The following is a 25,983-nucleotide window of genomic DNA, read 5'->3' as shown; positions in this document are numbered from 1 at the left end:
AATATCAGAAATTATAAATAAGTGGGTAAATATAAAATACTAGGTTTTATTTTTCTTCTCATAATGTCTTCAATTAAAGACAACTGACTGATTCAAGTAAAAATAATACCACTGCAAGATGAGCTTTGCAATGTGTGTGGAAGTAATAAATATGCCAACAATAAAACAAATGTTAAGAGGTGAGTAAGTGTAATTAAACTGTTGTAAGAATATTGTATTTGTGAAGTGGAGAGGGAAGTGGGATGTGTCAGGTGTTAAATGAGAATTGGAAAGTGAGAATATGAAGGGTCAGATATGAAGAGGTACGATATTGACTGTAAATAAACTTTAATAAGTTAAGGATGCACTTTGTTACCCTTAGAGAAATCATACAAAAGTAAAAATGCTAAGTTGGCCTTCATCAAAATGTAAAAGGTCTGCTTCTCAAAAGACACAGTTAAGGAAATGAACAGTCAAGCTACCTATTAGAAGAAAATATTTACTATACATATATCTGATAATAGACTTTTGTCCAGAACACATAAAAACTCTAGTAATTAAATAGTAAGATAATCCAATTAAAATGGATGAAATATTTGAGCAGATACTTTATGAAAGGACAAAAAGCACATGAAAATATTTTTAACATTATCAGTCATCCAGAAGGAGGAAATAAAAAAAACTCTCTGGTATAACACTTCTTACTAATTTAATTGGCTAAAGTGGAAAACATTGACAACCCAAATGTCAAAGACGTGAAGCAACTGGATCAATCATATGTGCTGGTTAGAGTGTAAAATGGTACAATCACCTTGGAAAACAGTTTAGCAGTTTCATATAAATTTAAATATACATTTACCTAATTACATAGCTACTCTACTCCTAGGCATTTATCCAAAAGAAACAAAAACACATGTCCATGCAAATATTTTTAAATGAATGTTCATTGCAGCTTTATTCATAATAGCCAATAACTTGGAAACAATGTCAACCAATGAGTGAATGAATAAATTAGTTGCATACTCTTTCTTTTTGTATTTTTTGTAGACATGGGATCTTGCTTTGTTGCCCAGGCTGGTTTTGAACTTCAGGGCTCAAGCCATCCTCCCACCTCAGCCTCCCAAAGTGCTGGGACTATAGGTATGAGCCACCACACCTGGCCATGTACCCTTATAATGGAATATTACTCAGTGATAAAAAAGTAAATATCAAAATCTCTATCTTAAGCAAAAGAAGCCAGACACAATAGTACATACTGTGTGATTCTATTTTTATGAAATTTAGAACTGGCAGATCTAATCTTTAGTTAATAGAAATCAGTGGTTATGTAAGATGGAAGGGTGGGGGATACAGGCAAATACATAAGGGAACCTTCTGGGTAGTGGAAATGTTCTATATTTATAATTGTGTAATGTTACATGGTGTATACATTTGTCTAAATTTATAAAACTATATACTTATAATCATGTATAAATTATACATCAACAACTTTAACAGAAAAGTTTCTGAGCAGCTGAAATGTGACTCTAGAGGAGGAAACGGGATAGAGAAAAAGAAAAAGAACTTTGGTAAATACTGCTGTGGTTTATCTTCTCCTTAGCTTTGGAGTCACACACAAAAAAGGAATAAAAACCAGGAACTTTGGAGGTATAGGTAAAGGAGGGAAAGACAAAGAGAGTCTTTTCTAAAATGAGTCCTTAAAAAGTTTCATTATATAGATAGAAGTGGCTGTATCAACATACATGTGCAAATAGCCCAAGGATGATACCAAAGTATAAACAGGTAGCTGGACTATCTTCCATAGCTCAGCACAAAATGACTGAGCAAACCATAGAACTACATATACATTCCCAGTAGTATGGTATATGGAGACTGTAGCTATACTGAAAGAGGGAAAAGGGAAGACCTATAAGAGAGAGTAGAGGTGAGAGAGTGAATGCCTTTGAGAAGTACTCCTCTTGTTCTAAAGCGTTCTAACCTCATTTTCACTTCATTTTGCCTTTCATCTTACAGTACTGGACTCTGCTAGTGTGGTATCCTGAAGAAGCTACTGGGTCACATTTATTGACCCAAGAAAACACTGCCTTTGACTTTCCTGAGCCATTCAACTTTCTCATTGCCCCACCTACTTACTGGCATATTCTCATCTTTGTGTCTCCAAATATTTCTATCCACAGCCCACCAATGGCGTTCTTCCTTTCATGCACATTGGCACTGCTCACGTCCCAGTTCTGTCCCTCAAACTATTACAGTAGCCCACAACTGGGTCCATTCTTCAACCCTACTCACCCTGTTACATGTACCTTCCATAGTCCTGCTGCAAGAACCAGCTTCATAGCCATGTGATCAGTGCAGTTGTAGAGGATCTTACATTCAGAAAGCCCTGCACCTGGGGCTTAATATTCTGTAGTTGCTGTCTTAAATATTATAAATGAGTTTATCTTTACAATTCTGCTTTTTGAGTTAAGCCAAATGGGACATGCACTGGAGGCTCGGAGTGTTGGCTCACATGCAGTCTTACCTCCTGCCACCTTCCCCAGACAGGTTCAGTTCTTGGCCACCCTCTCACTCTCTGAAACTCTGTGCCCTGCCTATTATTCCTTCTTCCCTGGGCTCTGCTACCCCCAGGCCCCTGCAGAAGCCTGGGTGAAAGGGCAGGGAGAGTTGAAGTTGGGCATGCATGCCCCATGACATCTTAGCATGAGGCATGGTGGCAGCAGCCATCCCCAGGCTAGGCTGGCAGCACAAATGACTGTCTAGTGGATGGCCAGCCTTAATCTGCCTCTTGGTTGAGGTGAGTCTTTTGCCCACCCACCTACAATTCAAGTATCGAGCGCACTTCAGTGGAAAGGTTTAAGTATCTTTGGAAGTCACTTGTTTGCTGTGGATTGGTAAAATACCTAAGTTAACTTCCTCAGACCTCTCCTTCTTCTGGGGTGCAATGTACAGGTCTAGTAGCTGGTGGGCAGGGCAGTCCAATGACAGTAAGGTCTGAGCATGCCTCATATCATGAAGTAAGGCCTCTGCATACTTTCAAGGGTGATATGGTTTGGATATGTGTCCCCACCTGAATATCATGTTGAATTATAATCCCAATATTGGAGGTGGGGCCTGATGGGAGGTGATTGGATCATGGGGGTGGAGTTCTTACCAATGGATTAGCACCATCCCCTCAGTGCTATTCTTGTGATAGTGAGTGAGTTAGTTATCTTCAGATCTAGTTGTTTTAAAAGTATGCAGCACCTCTCCCCTCACTCTCTTGCTCCTGCTCTGCCATATAAGACGTGCCTGCTTCCCCTTCACCTTCTGCCATGGGTCAGAGTTTCCTGAGGCCTTCCCAGAAGCTGAGCAGATGCCAGCATCATGCTTCTTGTGCAGCCTGCGGAACCATGAACCACTTAAACCTCTTTATAAATTACACAGTCTCATGTATTACTTTATAGCAGTGTTAAGAACAGACTAATACAAAAGGGTATGCATTCATCTTGCTAGTTTCCTAGTGCTCAGGAGCACTCCCTTGGCTAGCTTCGGGCCTAGGTCTATTCTCTCTTTCTCCTTCTAACATTTAAGTCTGGCTCATGTTGTTTTCTTTTGGCCAACCCTAGGTGCCCTCCGGGGAAAAGCCACAAAGTACTAATTGTGTAATTTTAGTGATTTTTGCATACAAGTTAAATGCTTTGCATTTAAAATTGACATTACACAATTTAAAAATGAAAGGAAAAATTCATGCTAATACTTTAAAATTTTAGTCATCAAACTCTGGTGATCCTAAGATTGTGTAGTTTAATCAAGTAATAAAAATAGAGGAAGGCACAATTTTGGTGCATGTTCTAGTGGTTGATTTGGGCAACGTATTGCCACTGTCCAAAGCTATCACTGGCTTTTTTCTAAGCTTTCAATCTATGTGTCTTTTTTAAGGTTAAAATGTTATATTCAATTTCCTTCCCTGGAGGAATGGAGATAAGGTTATTGCCATTTTCATTTCCCTTATCATATGGAAATTATCTCCACATACACTGAGTGATTTTTAGTTGATTCTACAATGAATATGTGTATTGTAGTTTTTAAAACATGAAATCGTGTAAACTAAGCATGAAGTGATTTTGTTGGTGTATTAATGAATCAGGAAAGAATTTTGGTTAGCCAAGGAATATAACTCCATCTAAGATATATAGGAAGAAATCCCAAGTGTCAACTGCTCATTATAAGCTTTGAAAAATATGTGAATATTTGCAGACATGGAAGTCTTCAATGTATTTTTGATTTTTAAGCTTTGGTTTTTCCAATATTTTTCTCTCTCCTAGGATTAACTGTCTAGGATTATAAATTTAACAGTGCTGGTTCATGGACAATTTGGTGCCCTGTGACTGTAACATAACTTAACACCAACAACTCAACAAAGTTGAGAATGAGAAAAAACTCAGAATCAGTTAATCACCTCACTACCTCTAAAGGAAAGCTCTCAGTGTTTGGTGGAAAAATAGGAAATGACATATTTTTTTTTCTGAGCCTGATCCCCAAAGACCAATTCCTATACTACTGAAACACCTAATTATCTCCATCATCTGTATGCACTATTTTTTGGTGAAATTTCTATTAAGTCTATCTTTTCCCACTCACCCACCAGGCATATATTGTTTCCCCTAATTCTTACCTCTGATAACTTAGGCAAAATAGAGCTGAAGATAAGATTGATACATAAAATATGCTCTAAAATATGCATGGGATTAAGAAATGTCATTGCATCTATCACTTCATTTAGGAACCCTTCCTGATCTCCAAAGCCAGATAAAACTTTCTCCATACTTCTATTAAATACACTTTATGTGTAATTTTGTTATGGCTTTTTACTAAAAGTCCAAATCTTGGACTTATGTGCATGTTTTACATCGACAACTAAATGACAAGCAGTTTTCTTGTCAACATCAATTGAGAATTTCTCCTGACTTGTCCTTAATCATCTTAATAAATAACCTTTCAACAACTGTGTTAACATAAATGTTTTCTGAAGTTTATTGCATGTTAGTAGTCAAGATACTGCAAATTACAGTAACAGCGAGATAGCATTTTGCACACATTTGATTGTGAAAAGAAAATAATAGTGCTAACATTCTTTCCTGGTGATAATGCAGAGGAAAGAACACTGATAAATTGCTGTTCAAATATAAAGTACTATTATCTTTCTGGAAACAATTTTGTAATACCTATTAAAATTAAAAATTTGCATATCCTTTAACATGACAATTCCATTTCAGGAAATCTCTCTTACAGAAATAAAACCCACCATACTTGTACAGGAATACCTTGGAGATATTGCAAGTTCAGTTCCAGACTACCACCATAAAGCAAATAGTGCAATAAGGTTAGTGACAAACTGTTTGTTTCCCTGTGCATGTGAAAGTTATGTTTATACTATACTGTAGTCTATTAGGTATACAATAGCATTAGGCCTAAAAAAACAATGTACGTACCTTAATTAAAAAATTATTTCTTACTAAACAATGCTAACAATCATCTGAGCCTTCAGCAATCATAATCTTTTTGCTGGTGGAGGGTCTTGTTTTCATGCTGCTGGCTGCCGACTGATCATGGTGGTGGTTGCTGAAGGATGAGGTGGCTGTGGTAATTTCTTAAAATACAACACCAGTGAAGTTTGCTGCACAATGGACTTTTATTTTCACAAAAGAGTTCTCTGTAGCATTCATTGCTGTTTGATAGGATTTTACCCACAGTATTTTTTTTTTCAAAATTGTAGGCAATTCTCTCAAGTCATGCTGCTGCTTTATCAACTATTTTTATGTAATATTCTAAATACTTTATGGTTATTTCAACAATGTTCACAGCGTCTTCACCAGGAGTAGTTTCCATCTCAAGAAACTATTTTCTTTGCTCATCCATAAGAGGCAATTCCTCATCCTTTCAAGTTTTATCATGAGATTTCAGCAATAGAGTCACATCTTCAGTCTCCACTTCTTATTCTAGTTATCTTCTTACTTCCACCACATCTGCAGTTACTTCTTCCACTGAAGTCTTGAACCTCTCAAAGTCACCCATGAGGTTTGGAATCAACTACTTCCAAACTCCTGTTAATGCCATAAATGTTCTTAATGGCATGTAAATGGTGAATCTTTTCCAGAAGCTTTTCAATTTACTTTCCTCAGATACAGCTATCAGAGGAATCACTATTTATGGCAGGTATGGACTTACAAAAGGTATTTCTTAAATAAGAAGACTTGAAAGTCAAAATCATTCCTTGATCTGTGGGCTGCAGAATGTACGTTGTGTTAGCAGGCATGAAAATAACATGAACCTTCTTGTACATCTCCACCAGAGCTCTTGGGTGACTAGATGCATTGTCAAGACACAGTGATATTTTGAAAAGAATCTTTTTTTTCTGCACAGTAGGTCTCAACAGTAGACTTAAAATATGTAGTAAATCCTACTGTAAACAGATGTGTTGTCAACAAGACTTCATTAGTTCATCTATAAGGCACAGGGAAAGTCAATTTAGCATAATTCTTAAGAGCCCTAGAATTTTCAGAACGGTAAATGAGCATTGGTTTCAACTTAAAGGTACCAGCTACATTAGCCCCAATAAGAGAATTAGCCTGAGACCTTGAAGCTTTGAAGCCAAACATTGGCTTCTCCTCTCTGGCTATCAAAGCCCTAGATGTATCTTCTTCCAATAGATGATTATTTTATTTACATTGAAAATCTGTTGCTTAGTGTAGCCAACTTCATCAATGATCGTAGTTAGATCTACTGGATAACTTGTTTCAGCTTCTCCATCAGTACTTCCTGCTTCACCTTGCACTTTTATGTTATAAGACAGCTTATTTCCTTCAGCCTCATGAACCAACTTCTGCTGGCTTCAGGCTTTTTTTTTTTTCAGATCTTCCTCATCTCTCCCAGCCTTCAAATAATTGAAGAGAGTTAGGGCCTTGCTTTGGATTAGGCTTTGGTTGAAGAGAATGTTGTGTCTGATTTTATCTTCTATCTAGACCATTAAAACTTTCTCCATATCAGCAATAAGGCTGTTTCTCTTTTTTATCATTCATGTGTTCACTAGAGTAGTACTTTTATTTTCTTTCAATAACTTCTCCTTTGCATTCAGAATTTGGCTGTTTGTTGCAAAAGGCTTAGTTTCAGCTTATCTCAGCTTTTGTCATGTCTAACTAAGCTCAATCATTTCTAGGTTTTGATTTAAATTGAGAGATGTGTCACTCTTTCAGCTGAACACTTGGAAACCATTGTAGGATTATTAATTGGCCTAATTTCAATATTCTTGTGCCTCAGGGAATAGGGAGGCTTAAGGAAAGGGAGAGAGATGGAAAAATGGCTGGTTGGTGAAGCAATCAGAACACATACAATGTTTGTCAATTGTTTGACATCTTAAATGGGCATATTTTTTTGGTGCCCCAAATAATTACAATGGTAAGAACATAAATCACTGATCACACAGGTCACTATAATAGATATAATAAGAGTGAAGAAGTTTGAAAAATTACAAGAACTACCAAAATGTGACACAGAGACACAAAATGAGCACAGGCTATTGGAAAAAATGATGGCATTAATACTCTTGCTCAATGCAGGGTTGACACAAACCTTCAATTTGTAAAAGATGCAGTATCTGGAAAGTACAATAAAGGGAAGCAAAATAAAGTGAAGCACAATAAAACAAGGTATGCTTGCATAAATATCTTTATTATATAGTATCAGAAAAACTAGTGCAAAATATTGTAAAAGTGATCACTTTTTTTCATTAGGAGGTGAATTTTGTTTCTCTGTCCCTTAAATTTGAGTTGGCCATGTGATTTATTTGGCCAATAGGACATTAACAAATATGATCAAGAGGCTTCAAAAGTGCTTGTGCATTGAAGCTTGATCTTTTTCTTGGAAGCGTTAGATTACCACGTGAATGAAACTAGCTAGAATGACGGATGACAAGAGACATGTGTACCTGTCAGTCCTGTCACTCTGGTCAACAGCTTTCCAACTGTCAGAGATAAGAATGAGACTATCCTGGATATCCAGCCTTCTGTCAATTTGCTTGCATATCATAAACACAAGAGTGAGCCCAGGATATATCAGCTGAGTTGACCTAGATGAGAAAAACTTCCCAACCAACCCACGGAATCATGGAAATTAATAAATGATTAATTTCAACCGTTAAATTTAGGGGCGGTTAGTTACACAGCAAAAGCTAACTGATATGACTGACTGACAATAATATGACTGCCCAACATTAGGGAAATATTTGAGTAAATAGTGGCACATTATGTTACATTATGAAGCTTTTAAGAAAAATAAGTTAGATATACATCCATTGACCGTATCTTATTTCTCCCTCTCCAATTAGATTTGTGAGCTCTTGGGGAAGAGGAAGTTTGTCTTTACTTTTGTTGATTTACCCCAAACACAGTGGACGCACAAGTATTTATTGATTTAAGTGCTCCAGAACTCCATTTTTAAAAGTTAAACAAGTGATCTTCAGTTGGAAGAGCTATTCTATTGGTACATGTACCATTTGATGGAATTAGCTCAGTATGGTTGCCTATTAAAGCTACAAGAGCTTAAATGGCAAAAGCCCCTACGTAAGGAACAATCACTTGATCAACCAGGGCTGCTTTCATGGGCATGTTGCCAGTATAGTCACACAGGACCCTGTGCTCAGAAGTGCCTCACACTGGGTTTAAGGCTCTGTAGTTGCAATCTTGAAGTTCTTAATTTCTTTTTTTCTGTGAGAAATTGTGTCTGGTAAATGAAGTCAGATGGGACAATAGAGCAAGTGTCAGGGGATTGAAGCCTCAGCTCATGTATTGGTCCCACCGCTGCATCTGACTGGGATGGTTCTCAGCCACAGGTCAGGATCCAAAGTAATTATGTAACCAGTACTAAATAAATTTTCTTAGGAAACTACAGATGAAAGAAGATATATATTGTTTCAATGCAAACAAAAGCCATGACATTTTGCTAAATAAGAGTGCTGCTCCCTTTTTTTTGTGGTGGCAGAAATGAAATTAGCCAAAGATGGCACATTTGGCAATAAAGAATATAAGGAAATGTTTCCTGGACTTGACACCATCTCTTGCTAGCTATTCTCTTTCTGCAAAGAATCAGCTTTTCCTGTATTAATATTCTCTTTGTCTTTGTATGAGTTTGTTAATTTTTGTTCTTATCCTTCTACTAATGTGTTATTTGTCTTAGTTGATTTTATTCTGTTGTTCTCACTTACTTGGATCAAAAATATGCAACTGGATGCTTCATTAATAAGAGCAGCTCTAAAAGTTGCTTAGCCTGTTACTGCACTTAACCAAATTTCTGGAAAAGGTGAAGAGAGTTCCACAACTGTAGTTGAACTTCAATGTTTAACAAGATTTATGTAAATAAATACATGGTTTAACCCAAAATATGATGCGATTATTTCATACCAATCAAATGCTGCTATATGTACTGCTGTGAATTTATGACCACAACCTTGTGGTTCGGTCTTGTTATCTCTTTGTTTCTTGGTATCACACTCTGACCTCTGCTGACTATCAGAAGCTAAAGCAGTGCTGATTGTTAGGTGGCATGGATAGTGCTGTTGCTCAGAACCGAAATAAACCCAAACAAGCAGTTCAGGGAAACTCACAGACACCTGTTCCTCAACCTTATGGTTAAGGTCAGTAGTTAAGAGCATAAAATACAATAGCAGGCATAAAATACAGTATCAGGCAGGCCTGATTTGATCCCAGTTCCTTATCAGTACTAGCTGAGTTAACTGCTGGCACTTAGTCACTTTAAATCTCCCTTTTCTCGTGTGTAAAATAGGGATAATTGAGTTTTAAATGAAATGAGTCACGTTCTTTGAGAAGCCTTCCTTAACATGCAATCAACTAGTAAGTATCCCTGCTATTTTCCTTTATTGCACGTTATTGTTTTCCTTTAGAGGACTGTTCTTGATTTGTATGTATATATTCTTGTATATATGTATAGATTAATTTGCTTGTTTGCCTATCCCACTAGACCATTAAATTAATGAGTACAGTGATCATACCTATTTTGCTCATCACTTTATGCCTGCACTGAGAAAAGTATCTGTCACATTATAGTTGCTTAATAAATATTTGTAGAATGAACAAATAAAATGCTCTATACAGTGCTGTGTGTTGAAAATAACAAAGTAGTCAATTCAAGACCCAAAGTAAAAGCAAACAAAGGAATGGTAATTTCTTTCCTAACTTGACCTAAAGTGGCCTTGATCCTCTCCCTCAGCCAATTCTTGGTCAATTTAAGCACTCTAAGTCTCAGCAGGTTTCAATGTGAGCCTTGCTTCATTTCATTATTAATTTACTAACAGCCTCCTTTTGATGAATTCCCTCTGCCTGATACTTTTCTATCACTGGGAGAACCTTGGCTTCAGGTCTTGGGGGCAGTCTCCCTTGTGGAGGAAGATCAGCCCTCGGATAGCCCCAACATCAGTCCATTTTTCCTGACTCATGATACTGTTGTACACTGAAGTGTTGCGTGCCCAAAAGTGCTTCTGACTGATTAATTTCTAAGTGAGTTATTTTTTTAAGTCAGTCTATTTTGAAATAAATTCAACCTAATTCATTTATACCACAAGTTAAACATATAACACTCAGTTTTTATTTTTTTATCATTCCATACATATCTAATATAAACCTCCGTGTAACAAAGATTGCGAAGTCTGGAGTTTGGTTCATGTATTCTAACCAATACTAAGTGCAATTAAATTCTTGTGCAAGAAATTCTTGTGATCAATGTCCTACAGGGTATTGTAATAGCATTGACCAGCACCAGCTTGATTTTAGCCAATGGCACAGAGACAAAAGTTTCTTTATGTCAGTAGCAATTCCTGTGACATTCATAGATGTCTCATTTGTATTTGTTTTGCCCTACCATCTCAGTGTCAAATTAATATCGGTAAAATTCCCATGCTTCCCAGGTTTAGTATCTGATTTTAGGTACAAGGAAAATAAATCAATAAAAATGACTCTTTAAATTTCCCTCCACATATCTGACATTTCCCATGTGTCATTTCCATACCTCTTATCATTTATCTGAATCATACTAGACTTTGAAAATGCTAATTTACTGTATTATTTATGCCCAGTAATAGAGTTTGTAAAAGCTTCTAAAGGAAAATAAATGAGGTTGACTTGTATAGCTATTATGCATAGCAAACTATATACTTGTAAATATGATTATATTTTGTGAACTAATACTTCTAACATTTTTATTTTTTGCAAACTTCTCACATGTAAAATTTCACATGTTCATATCTTCTACAATAGAAGTTAACAAGTACTTCTGCATATAAATCTCAGTGTCTGCTTGTGGACTCACTTTTGTTAATAGACTTGTGAAAGTGATCAGACACAATGAAATAAGAAGCAGACAACTATATCATTACTTTTGCACTTACTTTTCAAACTTCTCCCCAAGATCATCTTTGTTTGGTGTATACATTTCAGGTAATTCTTTTTTTAGCTTCTCAGCTATAGAAATAATTGCCAGGCGCTGAGTAATGAACAGGTGTGTGGTTTGTCCAATAAGATCACATTGGAAACTATGATCTCTACATGACTATATATGTAGCTCTACATGTAGCTCCTACATAGATTCCTGACAGTCATTTCTTTCCGACATTATTTCAAGATGAAAGAAAAGCTTTGCGGGAAAGGGGGACTGCAAAACTGGACGTGTACATGAAGATAGGCTCAAACAGCAAATGCCCTGAAGCCTCACTGTAGTACTTATCAGAGGGTTCAGGGCACAGCACTGCCTCACAGGTGGACTATTCTAATAGCTGCCAACCTGATGTTCTTGACTATAACCCCCACACCAATATGTCTTCTTTCTTAAGTATTTTGTTGTTTCTCTTATGTTATCATTTTGCTCAAAAACATCCAAAAGTAATGTAGTTACCATTATTTTAGGGTTTCGGCCTTGGTGTACTTAATACCTTATTTCTTATCTTCAGAGTAACATTTTAGAACACTTATGATACCCATTTTATTTTTTATTCTAGTGATAGGGCATTAATTAGCAGTGAGGCTGTTAAAAAGTACATCAGATTAAATCTACCCCTGTGCTTGACACTTTCGAATGGCTTCCCATCTCACTTAGATCTGGTCCTAATTTCTCCTCACACCTCATCTTCTACTCCCTTACTTTTTGTGAAGGGCTTCCTTGACACCCATATTCCACATTCCATAACTCCTTTGCTGATTTATGTTTCATCCTTAGCATTTATCACTTTCTAAAATAGAAGTTCTTTTACTGATTAGTCTTATTTATTGTCTGTCTTCCCCTCACTAGAATGCAAGCACCATGAGAACAGGGATTTTTATCTTTTTGTCCCTAGCAGGCATTTACTAAATATTTGCTAAATAAAATAATAAATTCATTCCTTTACATTTTAAAGTTATAAACTATATCATTACATAAAAAAGCCTATATAATAATGGGGACAGTTTAGGGATTATTAATGAAATGAACAGAGCACATTAGCAATACGTTAGGTATACCCAGTGTGTCACCCCTTTATGGCATCCACCTTCATCTTCCCAGAAGATTCACTTTCCTAAATTTTGTCTAAATCACTCTCTTGTATTTCTTACAGTTTACCATATAAATAAATAAAATATATAAATATGTGTCTCTAAACAGTGTATAATTTTGTGGTTTTGACTTTAATATAAATGGACAAATACATATATATATAGTCTTCTGCAACTTGTGTTTTTACTCAACATGTTTCAGAGATCCATTCATAGAGTAGTGTGTAGCTATAAGACATTCATTTCCTCACATACATAGTATTCTTACACTGTATGAATAAACGACAATTTCTTTATCTATTGTACTATTGAAAAGCATTTGGGTTGTTTCTATTTTTTTCCTATTTTAAGAAGTGCAGTTATGAACATTCTTTTCTGTGTCTCCAAGTGCACACTCAAAAGCTTTCTCTAAACTTATATTTTTCAAACTGAGAGTTGTGACCAGTTAGTGGGTTGAGTCACATCTAGGATAAAAGGAAATTGTGCAGAAAAGAATAGAACATGAAAAAATCAGAATGCATCAAAAGTAACAGCAGTGAGTATTATTTTGAAACACACATGTTTCAACATTAGTCAAAATATATGCAAGTATACACTGACTCATGATGTAAATTTTACTTTTACTGTGAGTCATGAGAATTTGAAAGCCAGTGTTCTATGGCTGTACCTGAAGTGAAATTGCTAGCTTGTAGGACATGCACATGGTCAACTTTACCAGGCCATGGCAAATTATTTTCCAAAGTGATTGTACCATTTTACATTCCATCACTGGTATATGAGTTTCTCTTCTTCCACTAACTTCCCAACATTTAGTATTTTCAGACTTTTAAATGTTTACCAATGTGATGTAATAGTGTCTCATTATGGTTTTGTTCCTAAATATTAATGAATCTGTGTATCTTTTAATAACTTATTGGCCATTCTTGTTGTTTCAATTACAAAATACCTATGGATTTCTTTTGCCTATTTCATAGCTATCTGCTTTGTTCATTAATAGACATTTTATATATCAATAAAATAACATTTTATGGCTATATGTGTCACCAATACGTTTTCAGTTTGTGGTTTGTCTTTTCAGTATTTAAATATCTTTTAAAGAATTGAAATTTGTAGGCCGGGTGCCGTGGCTCACGCCTGTAATCCCGGTACTTCGGGAGGCCTACGTGGGCGGATCACTGGAGGTTGGGAGTTCGAGACCACCCTGACCAACATGGAGAAACCTCATCTCTACTAAAAATACAAAGTGGTGGCACATGCCTGTAATCCCAGCTACTCGGGAGGCTGAGGCAGGAGAATCGCTTGAACCCAGGAGGCAGAGGTTGTGGTGAGCCAGAGATCACACCATTTCACTCCAGCCTGGGCAACAAGAGCAAAACTCTGTCTCAAAAAAAAAAAAAAGAAAAAAAATTTGTAATTTGAAATACAATTTATCTGCATTTTTCTCTGGTTTGAGATTTTTGTGTCTTTTTCCGTTTTGTTTTGTTTTTTTTGAGACAGAGTCTTGCTCTGTTACCCAGGCTGCAGTGCAGTGGCACGACCTTGGTTTACTGCAACCTCTGCCTCTCAGGTTCAAGCGATCCTCCTGCCTCAGCCTCTGAAGTAGCTGGGATTACAGGCGCATGCCACCATGCCAGGCTAATTTTTGTATTTTTAGTAGAGACAGGGTTTCAGCATGTTGGCCAGTCTGATTGGATTTTTGTGCCTTGATTATAAAATTTTTATCTAACATCAGGTATAGAAGATTTCCTCTATATTGTCATGTGAATTTTTTTTTTACGTTTTGCCTTTCAGATTTGCCACCTTAATCCAATCGGAATTGATTTTGTTTCTGGTGTGAGGTTGGGAAACAATTTTATTTCTTCACACAGAAGATCAATTGTACCATATTGTTTATTTATTTATTTTTAATTATACTTTAAGATCTAGGGTACATGTGCACAACGTGCAGGTTTGTTACATATGTATACAACCACATTGTTTATTAAATATTATGCTCTTTACATACTAATCTGCAATGCATCTCTGTTATATATCGTTTCCATATATATGTGTGTGCATATATATAGATAGATATAGATAGATATATAGACATAGATTTATTTTTAGCCTCTCCATTCTGTTCCATTGGCTCATCTGTGTATCTATGAATGTCACACTATCTGTATAACTATGGTTTTATAATAAATATCTATATCAGATAAGGAACATCTCTCTCTCCAGTCACAAACTTCTTTTTCAGGATTATCTTTGCTAATGTTGGCCTTTTGTTCATTCATTCGTGTGTGTGTGTGTGTGTGTGTGTGTGTGTGTGTGTGTGTTTATTAGAATCAGCTGTCAAGTTCCACAGTGAATTTTGGGGAAATTTTAATTGACCTGTCATTGAAGCTATAAATGAGTTTGGAAAGAATCCGCATTTTTTCGTATTGAGTCCTCTATCCATAAGCAAAGTACATCTTTTCATTTCGTTAGGCATTCTTTCATACTCTCCAATAACGTTATGTAATTTTCTACTTAAAGGTCATGCACATCCTTTATTAGATGTATTCCTAGGTACATCCTTTGTTGTTGTGTAACAACTAATATATATAAAGCAACTTTTTTGCTGCTTTATAATAGTAGAACTGATTTTTAAATTTATCTGGTATCTATCAATACATAACATATACAAACAACTGCTACAAATGAATAAAAAGTTTATATCCGCAATAAAATGATCAAAGTACATAAAAAGCAAACTCTACCAGAGAAAAATCCCATCTGAGATCCAAAGTTACTCAGCTTCTTTTTTAATCAAAAAAACTGCAAAGCAAAACAATAAAGATATGCCATTTTTAACCTATTAGAATGGTCAATATTCAAAAGAGCAATAATATTCATTGTTGTGAAGGACACAGGGCAACAAGTATTCTCATATATCACTGGTGGCAGCGTTATTCATAACAATCATTTGAGAAACGAACCTAGCAATGTTGAAATTTGAAGGACTCACAAAGGCTTCCAGTTCAGAATGACAGAACACACCACTTTTAACCCCTCTTTTTCTTGAGGCCCCCTTTAATCCTAAATCATAATAATAACTAAAGGAGGCCATTAGTGGAAAAAGATTTCAACAAATTTCTAGAAAATGTTCTAGCAATTGATGAATGGGACAGTGGGAGCTATCATCTGCAACTGGGGAGAAGGTTAATTTGACTTGCAGAATTATTGAATCTCCTGAATGGTAATGCCTAGGTTTTCTTCTAGGGTTTTTATGGTTTTAGGTCTAACATTTAAGTCTTTAATCCATCTTGAATTGATTTTTGTATAAGGTGTAAGGAAGGGATCCAGTTTCAGCTTTCTACATATGGCTAGCCAATTTTCCCAGCACCATTTATTAAATAGGGAATCCTTTCCCCATTGCTTGTTTTTCTCAGGTTTGTCAAAGATCAGATAGTTGTAGATATGCGGCATCATTTCTGAGGGCTCTGTTCTGTTCCATTGATCTATATCTCTGTTTTGGTACCAGTACCATGCTGTTTTGGTTACTGTAGCCTTGTAGTATAGTTTGAAGTCAGGTAGTGTGATGCCTCCAGCTTTGTTCTTTCGGCTTAGGATTGACTTGGCGATGCGGGCTCTTTTTTGGTTCCATATGAACTTTAAAGTAGTTTTTTCCAATTCTGTGAAGAAAGGCATTGGTAGCTTGATGGGGATGGCATTGCATCTGTAAATCACCTTGGCCAGCAGGACATAGGCATGGGCAAGGACTTCATGTCTAAAACACCAAAAGCAATGGCAACAAAAGACAAAATTGACAAATGGGATCTAATTAAACTAAAGAGCTTCTGCACAGCAAAAGAAACTACCATCAGAGTGAACAGGCAACCTACAACATGGGAGAAAATTTTCGCAACCTACTCATCTGACAAAGGGCTAATATCCAGAATCTACAATGAAGTCAAACAAATATACAAGAAAAAACAAACAACCCCATCAAAAAGTAGGCAAAGGACATGAACAGACACTTCTCAAAAGAAGACATTTATGCAGCCAAAAAACACATGAAAAAATGCTCATCATCACTGGCCATCAGAGAAATGCAAATCAAAACCACAATGAGATACCATCTCACACCAGTTAGAATGGCAATCATTAAAAAGTCAGGAAAGAACAGGTGCTGGAGAGGATGTGGAGAAATAGGAACACTTTTACACTGTTGGTGGGACTGTAAACTAGTTCAACCATTGTGGAAGTCAGTGTGGTGATTCCTCAGGGATCTAGAACTAGAAATACCATTTGATCCAGCCATCCCATTACTGGGTATATACCCAAAGGACTATAAATCATGCTGCTATAAAGACACATGCACACGTATGTTTATTGCAGCATTATTCACAATAGCAAAGACTTGGAACCAACCCAAATGTCCAACAACGATAGACTGGATTAAGAAAATGTGGCACATATACACCATGGAATACTATGCAGCCATAAAAAATGATGAGTTCATGTCCTTTGTAGGGACATGGATGAAATTGGAAATCATCATTCTCAGTAAACTATCGCAAGAACAAAAAACCAAACACCGCATATTCTCACTCATAGGTGGGAATTGAACAATGAGAACACATGGACACAGGAAGGGGAACATCACACTCTGGGGACTGTTGTGGGGTGGGGGGAGGGGGGAGGGATAGCTTTAGGAGATATACCTAATGCTAGATGACAAGTTAGTGGGTGCAGCGCACCAGCATGGCACATGTATACATATGTAACTAACCTGCACAATGTGCACATGTACCCTAAAACTTAAAGTATAATAATAAAAGAAAAAAAAACTTAAAAAAAAAAAAGAATTATTGAATCTCTTTTAATGCAAAGAGGTCAGAAAAGAGAAACGGAACCTCAAAACACTGAGGCTTATTAGGTTTGCAACACCCACTGCCAAAATTTATCTCCCAGGTAAACAAATAAGCAAATAAAATTATAAGACACTTTCCTAAAGAAGTTAAAATTATATGTTATTGGGGAAATTAAGGCAACTAGTGTAGTAATTAGAACCTCCAGAATGACATTGGCTTCTGTGGGTCACTTTGTGAAACAGCCTTCTCTCCCTTAAAGTAAACTCTGTGAGTGAACAAACTTCTTGAATATGAAAAGCTTTTCTGTTGCTAAATCTTAAAATACAAAGAAAAAAACATAACTACACGTTTGAAGATAGCAACATAAAAGAGAGTTCTCAGGAAAAGCAATAACAATCAGAGCACTAAAAAGAGCTCTTAGAAACTGATAGAAGAAAAATTTGTGGAGATGTCATATGATTTAAAACAAATAAAAAAGAAACAAATATATGAGGAAAATAAACAGAGGGAATTAATCCAAGAGATCCATTATTTAACTATTTGAGTTTCAAAAACAGAGTGGAAGATTATTAGAGGAAAAAAAATTGGATGGTAGGAGTAATAATGATGTGACACTTCAAGGTTCTAATGAAACATCATTTTAATCCTAGAGTTCTACACACAATATACCAATCTTGTTTGAACACAAAATACCTTTTCAAATATGTAAGTGCCCAAATATTCCCTTCCCCTCCCTCCCTCTCTCCCTTCCTCCCTTCCTCCCTCCCTCCCTCCCTCCCTTCCTTCCTCTCTTTCTTTCTTTCTTTCTTTCTTTCTTTCTTTCTTTCTTTTTCTTTCTTTCTTTTCTTTCTTTCTTTCTTTTTCAGAGTTTTGCTCTTGTTGCTCAGGCTGGAGTGCAATGGTGCCATCCTGGCTCACTGCAAGCTCCGTCTCCCGAGTTCTCCTCACTTTCTTAAGAAGTTATTGTTTGTGTGATTCGATTACTTGTTTATTGTATAACAGGACTTTCAAGGATGACAGATGTTCAGTAGATGCACAGAGGTACAAATTGCTGCTGAACAGTCTGATGCCAATTTGATTCTCTCCCCTTTGTAGTAAAACTTTTGTTTTCTTCCTTGTGGAAGTTCTGAGACCTTCTCTTTGTTATCATATTTTATGTGTCTGAATGAGTTTGTTGTTGTTGCTACTGTGGTTGTTCATTACAAGAAATCTGACAACTCACGTTCTTTAGCTCCTGGGCTCTTTTTTCAGGAAATAGTTTGCCTTCAGGACGCATGAATTATCTGCTCCTCCATGCTGTAAAGTTGACAAAGGCTGATGTGCTATAGAAGACTATTAGGGTATTTCAGTAGTATCTGGGATTGGGTAGATAAATTCAAATTAAGGAAGCAGTATTAACAAGTCTACTTGACATTATAATATATACAAAGTTATACTCTCCAACATAAAGTTGATATTTTTATCTACATTTGTCTGACTTTTTTTTTCTCCCTCTGTTGGTTCTAACCTCAGATATGGTAGAAGAATATTCTTTACTGACCTCATCTAACTCCAAAATCTTCCAGAGTTATCATCACACATAATTGGAAAGCCACTGTAATACGTTAATAAAATATATAAGGCTCACAGCCACAGCCTTTTCTCTTGCTACCCTTCCCACCTTTTCACCTCACTCTATCTTCTAGCCACAATAGAGTTTCTGCACTTCTTCAAATATGTTATGCCTTATCTCAATGCTAAACTTTGCACATTCTATTTCCTCTGTCTGGTGCAGTTTTCCAACTTCCTCTTATCTTGTCTGAAAACCTGCCCTGCACAAAGTCTTTTCTGATCTTTCATAAAACGCTGTTTGTTTTCCTAATACAGTATTTATTTATTGTTTTGAAATCTGATGCCTGTGTCTTCTTCCCAGTGAACAGTAAGCTTCTTTAGAATGTGCATAATGGCTTATTCATCTCATATTATACCATAAGCTGCCACAGTGTCTGGTACAAGGAAGGTGCTCAAGAAATATTTGCTGAATATATTAAACTTTTGTATATCATTCAAGATAAGGAATTGAATTTGCCCACAAAATCAACATGGAATCTTATATGGAAAAGCAGAGTCATTTTCTTCAGTTGCCTCATATACATGTAACCCTTGGTGAGACCCAATATTTTCCTTCCCCTCCACTTCCATCCTTCCCATATACACGTCAGGGGATGATAATAGAGAAGCATATTGATCTAAGAGGCTCCAGATTGATTGATCTAAGGGTATTGATATAAAAGGTAGCATGGAAAGTAAACTATGGTCAGAAATGTAACTCTAGATCTAATGTCTCTGCCTGATTTCTGGATACTGAGGGCTGTATTCCTGAAATGTAGGGTTGAGGTAAGGAAGCTCCTAGATATTAGAAACCATGTAATAGTTGTATCCCTAATACAGGGCTCATGTGTTGAAAGCAGAAGACAGAGGAGAAGGAAGTGAAAGGAGAGTATTTCTTCTATTGTAAGTTACAGGGCTATCATTAGTTACTTTTTCATTAAAAATAGATGAAGATTATCTTTATTACCCTCCTACTACTTTTCTCCTATTCCTTGGGCTTGGAGCCCAATACCTGCATGCTTCCTTAATCCCCTACCAGAGAAAATCGCTCAGGTCTACATTCCCACAAAGTATTACTGGCCACAAAAATACCTACCTCTGCACCTCAACCAAAATCTGCATCCTTATAAAGCAGAGATTAACATGCATTTTCGTGCATTTTCAAAGAAGATGCATATTAATGCAATGGAGTCTATAATTGGTAGGATTTCTAGCAGTGAAAAAAATCTAAGGGTCATGTGAATTTTAGGATTTGGGCATCTGCTAAAGGACATGACTATTAAATCTATCATTGGGTCTTGAAGTGATTTATTTTATTAAACAGCATCTTGCCTTCTTCTATTTGTAAACTTTAGGTTGTCTGAAATTTCCAGTTGTTTTTACATTGACAGAAACAGTTGGAAGAACTGTGGCAAACAACATATATGAAACATTTATGACACAGATGTTGTTAAATAAGGGATTGCTTGTCTTCTATTTAAGATTATTCTTAAATTTTCTCTTCTAATGTCAATTTCGGAGAGACTGTAAGAGATAGAGATTCTTATAGAAAATATTGTTAATGGTGTATTACATTAGTATATTTTTTCTCAGTTCTAAACAAATTGTCACATACATCTCCTTTGAGCCTTCAGTGTGCCTGAGAGGTGAGTAGAACAGTATTTATAATATATCTTTTCCAGATGAGGAAATGGAAGCTCAGAGTGTATATGACTTGCAGAAAGTTTGCCATTCTTAAAGAACAAAGCTAGGACTAGAATCTAGCTTTCTCAAGTCTGGTTTGAGCTTTTTCTACTACAGCATGCTGCACCCTAAGCAAGCTTTACATTAAGCAGTTTTCTGGATAACTTTAAGCTCTGGATTTCAGAAACATGGCCCAAGTATTAGTGGCAAGGGAGAACACCATAATCAGGTACAGAAATGTGTGTGATAGGTGAGGCAGGGAAGAGTGAAGAGAGAAGATAAATATTTTACTTCTTTGTAGAGGATAGAAGAATTATCATCTTTCTTATGGAGGAACTAACCCTAAGGGAAGCCTAGCATTTCAATTCACAGAACCGTAACCAAGCTGTCACTGCTCTTTTGTTTGTTTGCTTGAGACGGAGTCTTGCTCTGTCATCCAGGCTGGAGTGTAGTGGCATCTCAGCTTACTGCAACCTCCGCCTTCTGAGTTCAAGCAATTCTCCTGCCTCAGCTTCCGTAGTAGCTGGGATTACAGGCGTGGCACCCCCATGCCCAGCTAATTATTTGTATTTTTAGTAGAGATGGGGTTTCACCATGTTGCCCAGGCTGGTTTCAAACTCCTGACCTCAGGTGATCCACCCGCCTCAGCCTTCCAAAGTGCTGGGATAACAGGTGTGAGCCACCACTCCTGGCCTGTCACTGCTCTTTTAATGCATGGTAGCTTGCTCAAATTGTGCAAATATTCTTCAGAGGCTATTGAGTATTAAATGTTGAATTTATGTACACCATGCATATAGTGAGAGTAACATCACAGATGACATAAAAATAACATATTTATTAATTTGGGAGAAATACAAGTTACTCAAGTTATAAGTTGATTTTCATGCTGTTACAAGGTTTTTTAAGGAACACTAATAGTTAAAAAGTTAATGTTAAATTAGGGAAAATAAAAATTGAGCCCAAAAAATCTGGATAAAGAATACATCTAACTCTGAAACTTTGAGAAGAAAATCAAAGACTTTTTTGTATTTTTTTAGATAGATTTAGGACAAAGATCATTCAATACAGAAACATTGAAAGAAGACAACAAACTAAGGCACAATAAATATAGAATTATAAATTCAAGGAGGTTTTGACTTATTATCCAATGAAAGCTGGATATCTTCTATGAGATACCAGTCTATTTTTGCATCACTATATATATTTTTTAAATGAAAATAACAGTAGTGCCCTGTTATAAAAAGTGTTATCATTACATGGGTTCAGATAGAGTTTAGGTCCAATCATTTCTTCCAAATACAAAAGTGTGAAGCTTCAGCAAACGGTGTGGTAGATAAAAAGCCCTGAACTACAAGTCGGAACACCTGAGTTCTATTTCTGGCTCTGAAGCCAACTAATTTTGACTGGTGGACTAAAAATGTCTATCATTTCACTCTGTCTATTCTCTCTTCTTACGGAATATGCCTTGGCTATTGCAGAAAGTGAGCAGCTTGCTTGCCACATGACCTTGTGCTTTGGTCACAGCTGAATGATACAGGGAAGGACACTTAATCCAAGCTTAGGCAATCAGCTTCTCTTTTCTAGAAATTCGATCATGTGCACTTGGGGTTTAAGGTGTTTGTGTGTGTGTGAAAGAGAAAGTAAGAGTGAGAAAGAGACAGGCAGACAAGAGAGAGACAGAGAGAGAGAGAGAGAGAGAGAGAGAGAAAGAGAGAGAGAGAGACAGAATAGAGGAGAAGAAAGAGATCATCAAATATGTGGTTGGTTCCACAAGGCTTGGTCATGTTTCCTACACTTGGGTTTAATGTGATACCTTTGTAGCCCACTTTTCTCAAGCTAGTTTGAATGGGTTTCCATTCTTTGCAAACAAACAATATATTGTTAAGATTAAAGCCACTTCAATCTTGCAAGTTAAGCAAGCTTATGCTGCTGTAATGAATAACTCCAAAGTCTTAATGACTTAAAACAACAAAAAGGTTTATTTTTCATTCACACTATATGTTCATTGTGGGTAGTCTGGGGACTTTGCTCTGAATTTTCATTCTCACTCTGGGACACAGACTTAGCATTGCCGGTTGCCCTGACAGAGGGAATAAAAAAATGTGGAAAAGCATGGACTGCCTCTCAATGCTTTTCCTTGGAAATGACACATCTGCTCACCTTTCAAAGCAAGTCATATGATTACACCTAACTTGAAGTAGGCAGAGAGAAGGGCAATCTTCCTATGTGCCAAAGGGGAGAGACAGCTTAAATATGTGTGATCAGTACTAATGACTATCTTGCTCAGTTACCTTCATAAGAGATTAAAGAAAATCAAATGGAGTAATGGATAAAAACAGGTCTTTACTAACTTTAAAGTGGCATTTAGATGTAAGAGATGATTTTAACTACATGGTACAAGTCTGCTATAATTTTACTATTGTACACCTAGAGTTCACTATACTCACCAAATTTCAAAAATCAATTTGAGACAGGGAGTGATATAAGTGTAATGGGATACATATTTTTTCTTTTTTCTTGCATTTCTTCTGGAGATACAAAGCATATCTAGGCCAGAATAACTAAAGTTGTTCTCTGGTCCTGTACCTCCATGCTAAAAAAGAACTAGAGATTATTTTAGCTTTATAATGCATAGTGAAAGTGCTAAGAGCAGTTTGATCTTTGCAGTGTACAATATCTGATTTTTTTTTAGATATTATACCCTGAAGGCAGAGAAAGGTAATAGCTTCTTTTAAAGTTCTCCAATTTATCCTTCAGAATCTAAACCTCCCCCTTTTCTAATATACTAAGCAATCTATCAGGTGTCTAAGGATCAAAATACTCAATGCTCGATAACCTTTTTCACAGGACAAGAGGAAGAATCACCAAATCTAAGTGGCCACACGAGAAAGAAATGAGATAGGGTGATTTTAAAAGGAAGAGGTTTCCTTCCAATTGAAAAGAGTTGATTAAGTGGGGTAATTTAAAAGAGTAGAATGAAGAACTTGTGTCCATTAGGAAACTTGGCACGGGTAAAATGATAAAGAAGAGACAATTTTTATGATGTGCCTCAAATGATTTGAAACATACAGTTAAATCGAAAGTAAAGGAGACTTTATTATGTTCTTCTGGACTCAGACATTTGTATATTATCTGACATTAAGATAATTTACTTGAGGTCTGCATTATCTTTCCTTTACTTTTAAGGGTTAAGTTCAGGTGTTATATATATTTGGAAATTAATTTTTCCAAATAAGGATATTAAATAAATTATTATTTAATTATAAGTTATAATCATCGTCACTTCATAAGAGGTAATTTTACCACCAAAAAAGTGGGATGAATATAATTTGAGACTAATAAAAAATTGGCTGTCTCTCTCTCCCTTATAGATATAACAAAATAGAAAATGTTCTTAGCAATTCATATTAATTTGGGGAAAATGTGATTCTGGAACAATGGAAAGCTGGAGACAGACATTGTTCAGAGTCACATAGGCACTGATTTTAAGGGAATAACCTCACTAACACTAGGAGACTTCAGTATTTTGTAAACATTACCTTAAATGGAATAATAATGAATATTGCTCTAATTTTCCTAAACTGGTTATTTAAGTATAAAAGGAATATGGCATATAAAAAAAAACCTCTTGGATCCAATAGGCATTGCTGTTGCAGACAAGCTAGCTACCTACACAGCATCTATTTTCCACTTTTTCCTTACTTACAGAGCTCAGATTGTGTTTGGGTTGGTAATTTGCCCAACTACTCATAATATTAAAATATTCACATTCACAACTTTTCTTGCAGCTAGGAGTAGCTATATGGCTCAATTCTGGGAAACAGGATGTAAGCAAAAGCTATGACTCCTCTGTTAGGGTGGAGGCATATTGGAGGCCAGATAATAAACAAAAATCTGGCCAAGGTTTGGCTTACTATGGATTTACTGGGTCCATGAAACCACCTAATGGTTACTTCCCTGGTCTCAAATGAAGGGGTGGGTTGCCCCTTCACACCTATGGGTGTTTCTCGTTAGGTGGAACGAGAGACTTGGAAAAGAAAGAGACACAGAGACAAAGTATAGAGAAAGAAAAAAGGGGGCCCAGGGGACCGGCGTTCAGCATATGGAGGATCCCGCCGGCCTCTGAGTTCCTTAGTATTTATTGATCATTCTTGGGAGTTTCTCGGAGAGGGGGATGTGGCAGGGTCATAGGATAATAGCGGAGAGAAGGTCAGCAGATAAACACGTGAACAAAGGTCTCTGCATCATGAACAAGGTAAAGAATTAAGTGCTGTGCTTTAGATATGCATACACATAAACATCTCAATGCCTTAAAGAGCAGTATTGCTGCCCGCCTGTCCCACCTCCAGCCCTAAGGCGGTTTTTCCCCTATCTCAGTAGACGGGACATACAATCGGGTTTTATACCAAGGCATTCCATTGCCCAGGGACGGGCAGGAGATAGATGCCTTCCTCTTGTCTCAACTGCAAAGAGGCGTTCCTTCCTCTTTTACTAATCCTCCTCAGCACAGACCCTTTACGGGTGTCAGGCTGGGGGATGGTCAGGTCTTTCCCTTCCCACGAGGCCATATTTCAGACTATCACATGGGGAGAAACCTTGGACAATACCTGGCTTTCCTACGCAGAGGTCCCTGAGGCCTTCCGCAGTGTTTGTGTCCCTGGGTACTTGAGATTAGGGAGTGGTGATGACCCTTAACGAGCATGCTGCCTTCAAGCATTTGTTTAACAAAGCACATCCTGCACAGCCCTTAATCCATTTAACCCTGAGTTGACACAGCACATGTTTCAGGGAGCACAGGGTTGGGGGTAAGGTTACAGATTAACAGCATCTCAAGGCAGAAGAATTTCTCTTAGTACACAACAAAATGGAGTCTCCTATGTCTACTTCTTTCTACACAGACACAGCAACAATCTGATCTCTCTTTCTTTTCCCTACACTCAAATGTATAATTGGATTGGCATACTTGGCATTTGGAATAACTCACATACTTGGGTCCTTGGACTATAAGATAAGAGCTGCCTCATTCCACCCCCTGTCACCTCAGGCAAAGATAGTAAATTCAAGCCAGTATTACTTTTGGGGAGTAGCTGAAGTTATCACCACTATTAAAGACCTGAAAGATGCAGAGGTGGTAGTTCCCATTATATCTCCATTTAATCCACCAGTTTAGTCCCTACAGAAATGTAATAAATACTGATAGTAACTAGAGACTACCACAAATTCATTTAAGTGATAGCTCAAACTACAGCCATTGTGCTAGATATGAAATGTCTGTCAGAAGAGATTAATATGTGGCCTCCAATTTGGCAAATTCTTTCTTG

The 25,983-nt window shown here is 36.7% G+C and overlaps 2 annotated features.

The window, feature by feature from the left end:
* Positions 24,082-24,909: an enhancer, noted in NCBI's record as "NANOG-H3K27ac hESC enhancer chrX:137416335-137417162 (GRCh37/hg19 assembly coordinates)". NCBI's record gives its function as "activates a minimal SCP1, AML or CMV promoter by ChIP-STARR-seq in primed H9 embryonic stem cells {active_cell/tissue: H9 hESC(primed)}" and the evidence as "EXISTENCE:reporter gene assay evidence [ECO:0000049][PMID:30033119]".
* Positions 24,910-25,739: an enhancer, noted in NCBI's record as "OCT4-NANOG-H3K27ac hESC enhancer chrX:137415505-137416334 (GRCh37/hg19 assembly coordinates)". NCBI's record gives its function as "activates a minimal SCP1, AML or CMV promoter by ChIP-STARR-seq in naive and primed H9 embryonic stem cells {active_cell/tissue: H9 hESC(naive and primed)}" and the evidence as "EXISTENCE:reporter gene assay evidence [ECO:0000049][PMID:30033119]".

Source organism: Homo sapiens, chromosome X (assembly GCF_000001405.40).
Source record: "Homo sapiens chromosome X, GRCh38.p14 Primary Assembly".
Taxonomy (NCBI): domain Eukaryota; kingdom Metazoa; phylum Chordata; class Mammalia; order Primates; family Hominidae; genus Homo; species Homo sapiens.
The sequence above is the reverse complement of the archived record's forward strand: the minus strand, read 5'-3'. Positions and strand labels throughout refer to the sequence as shown.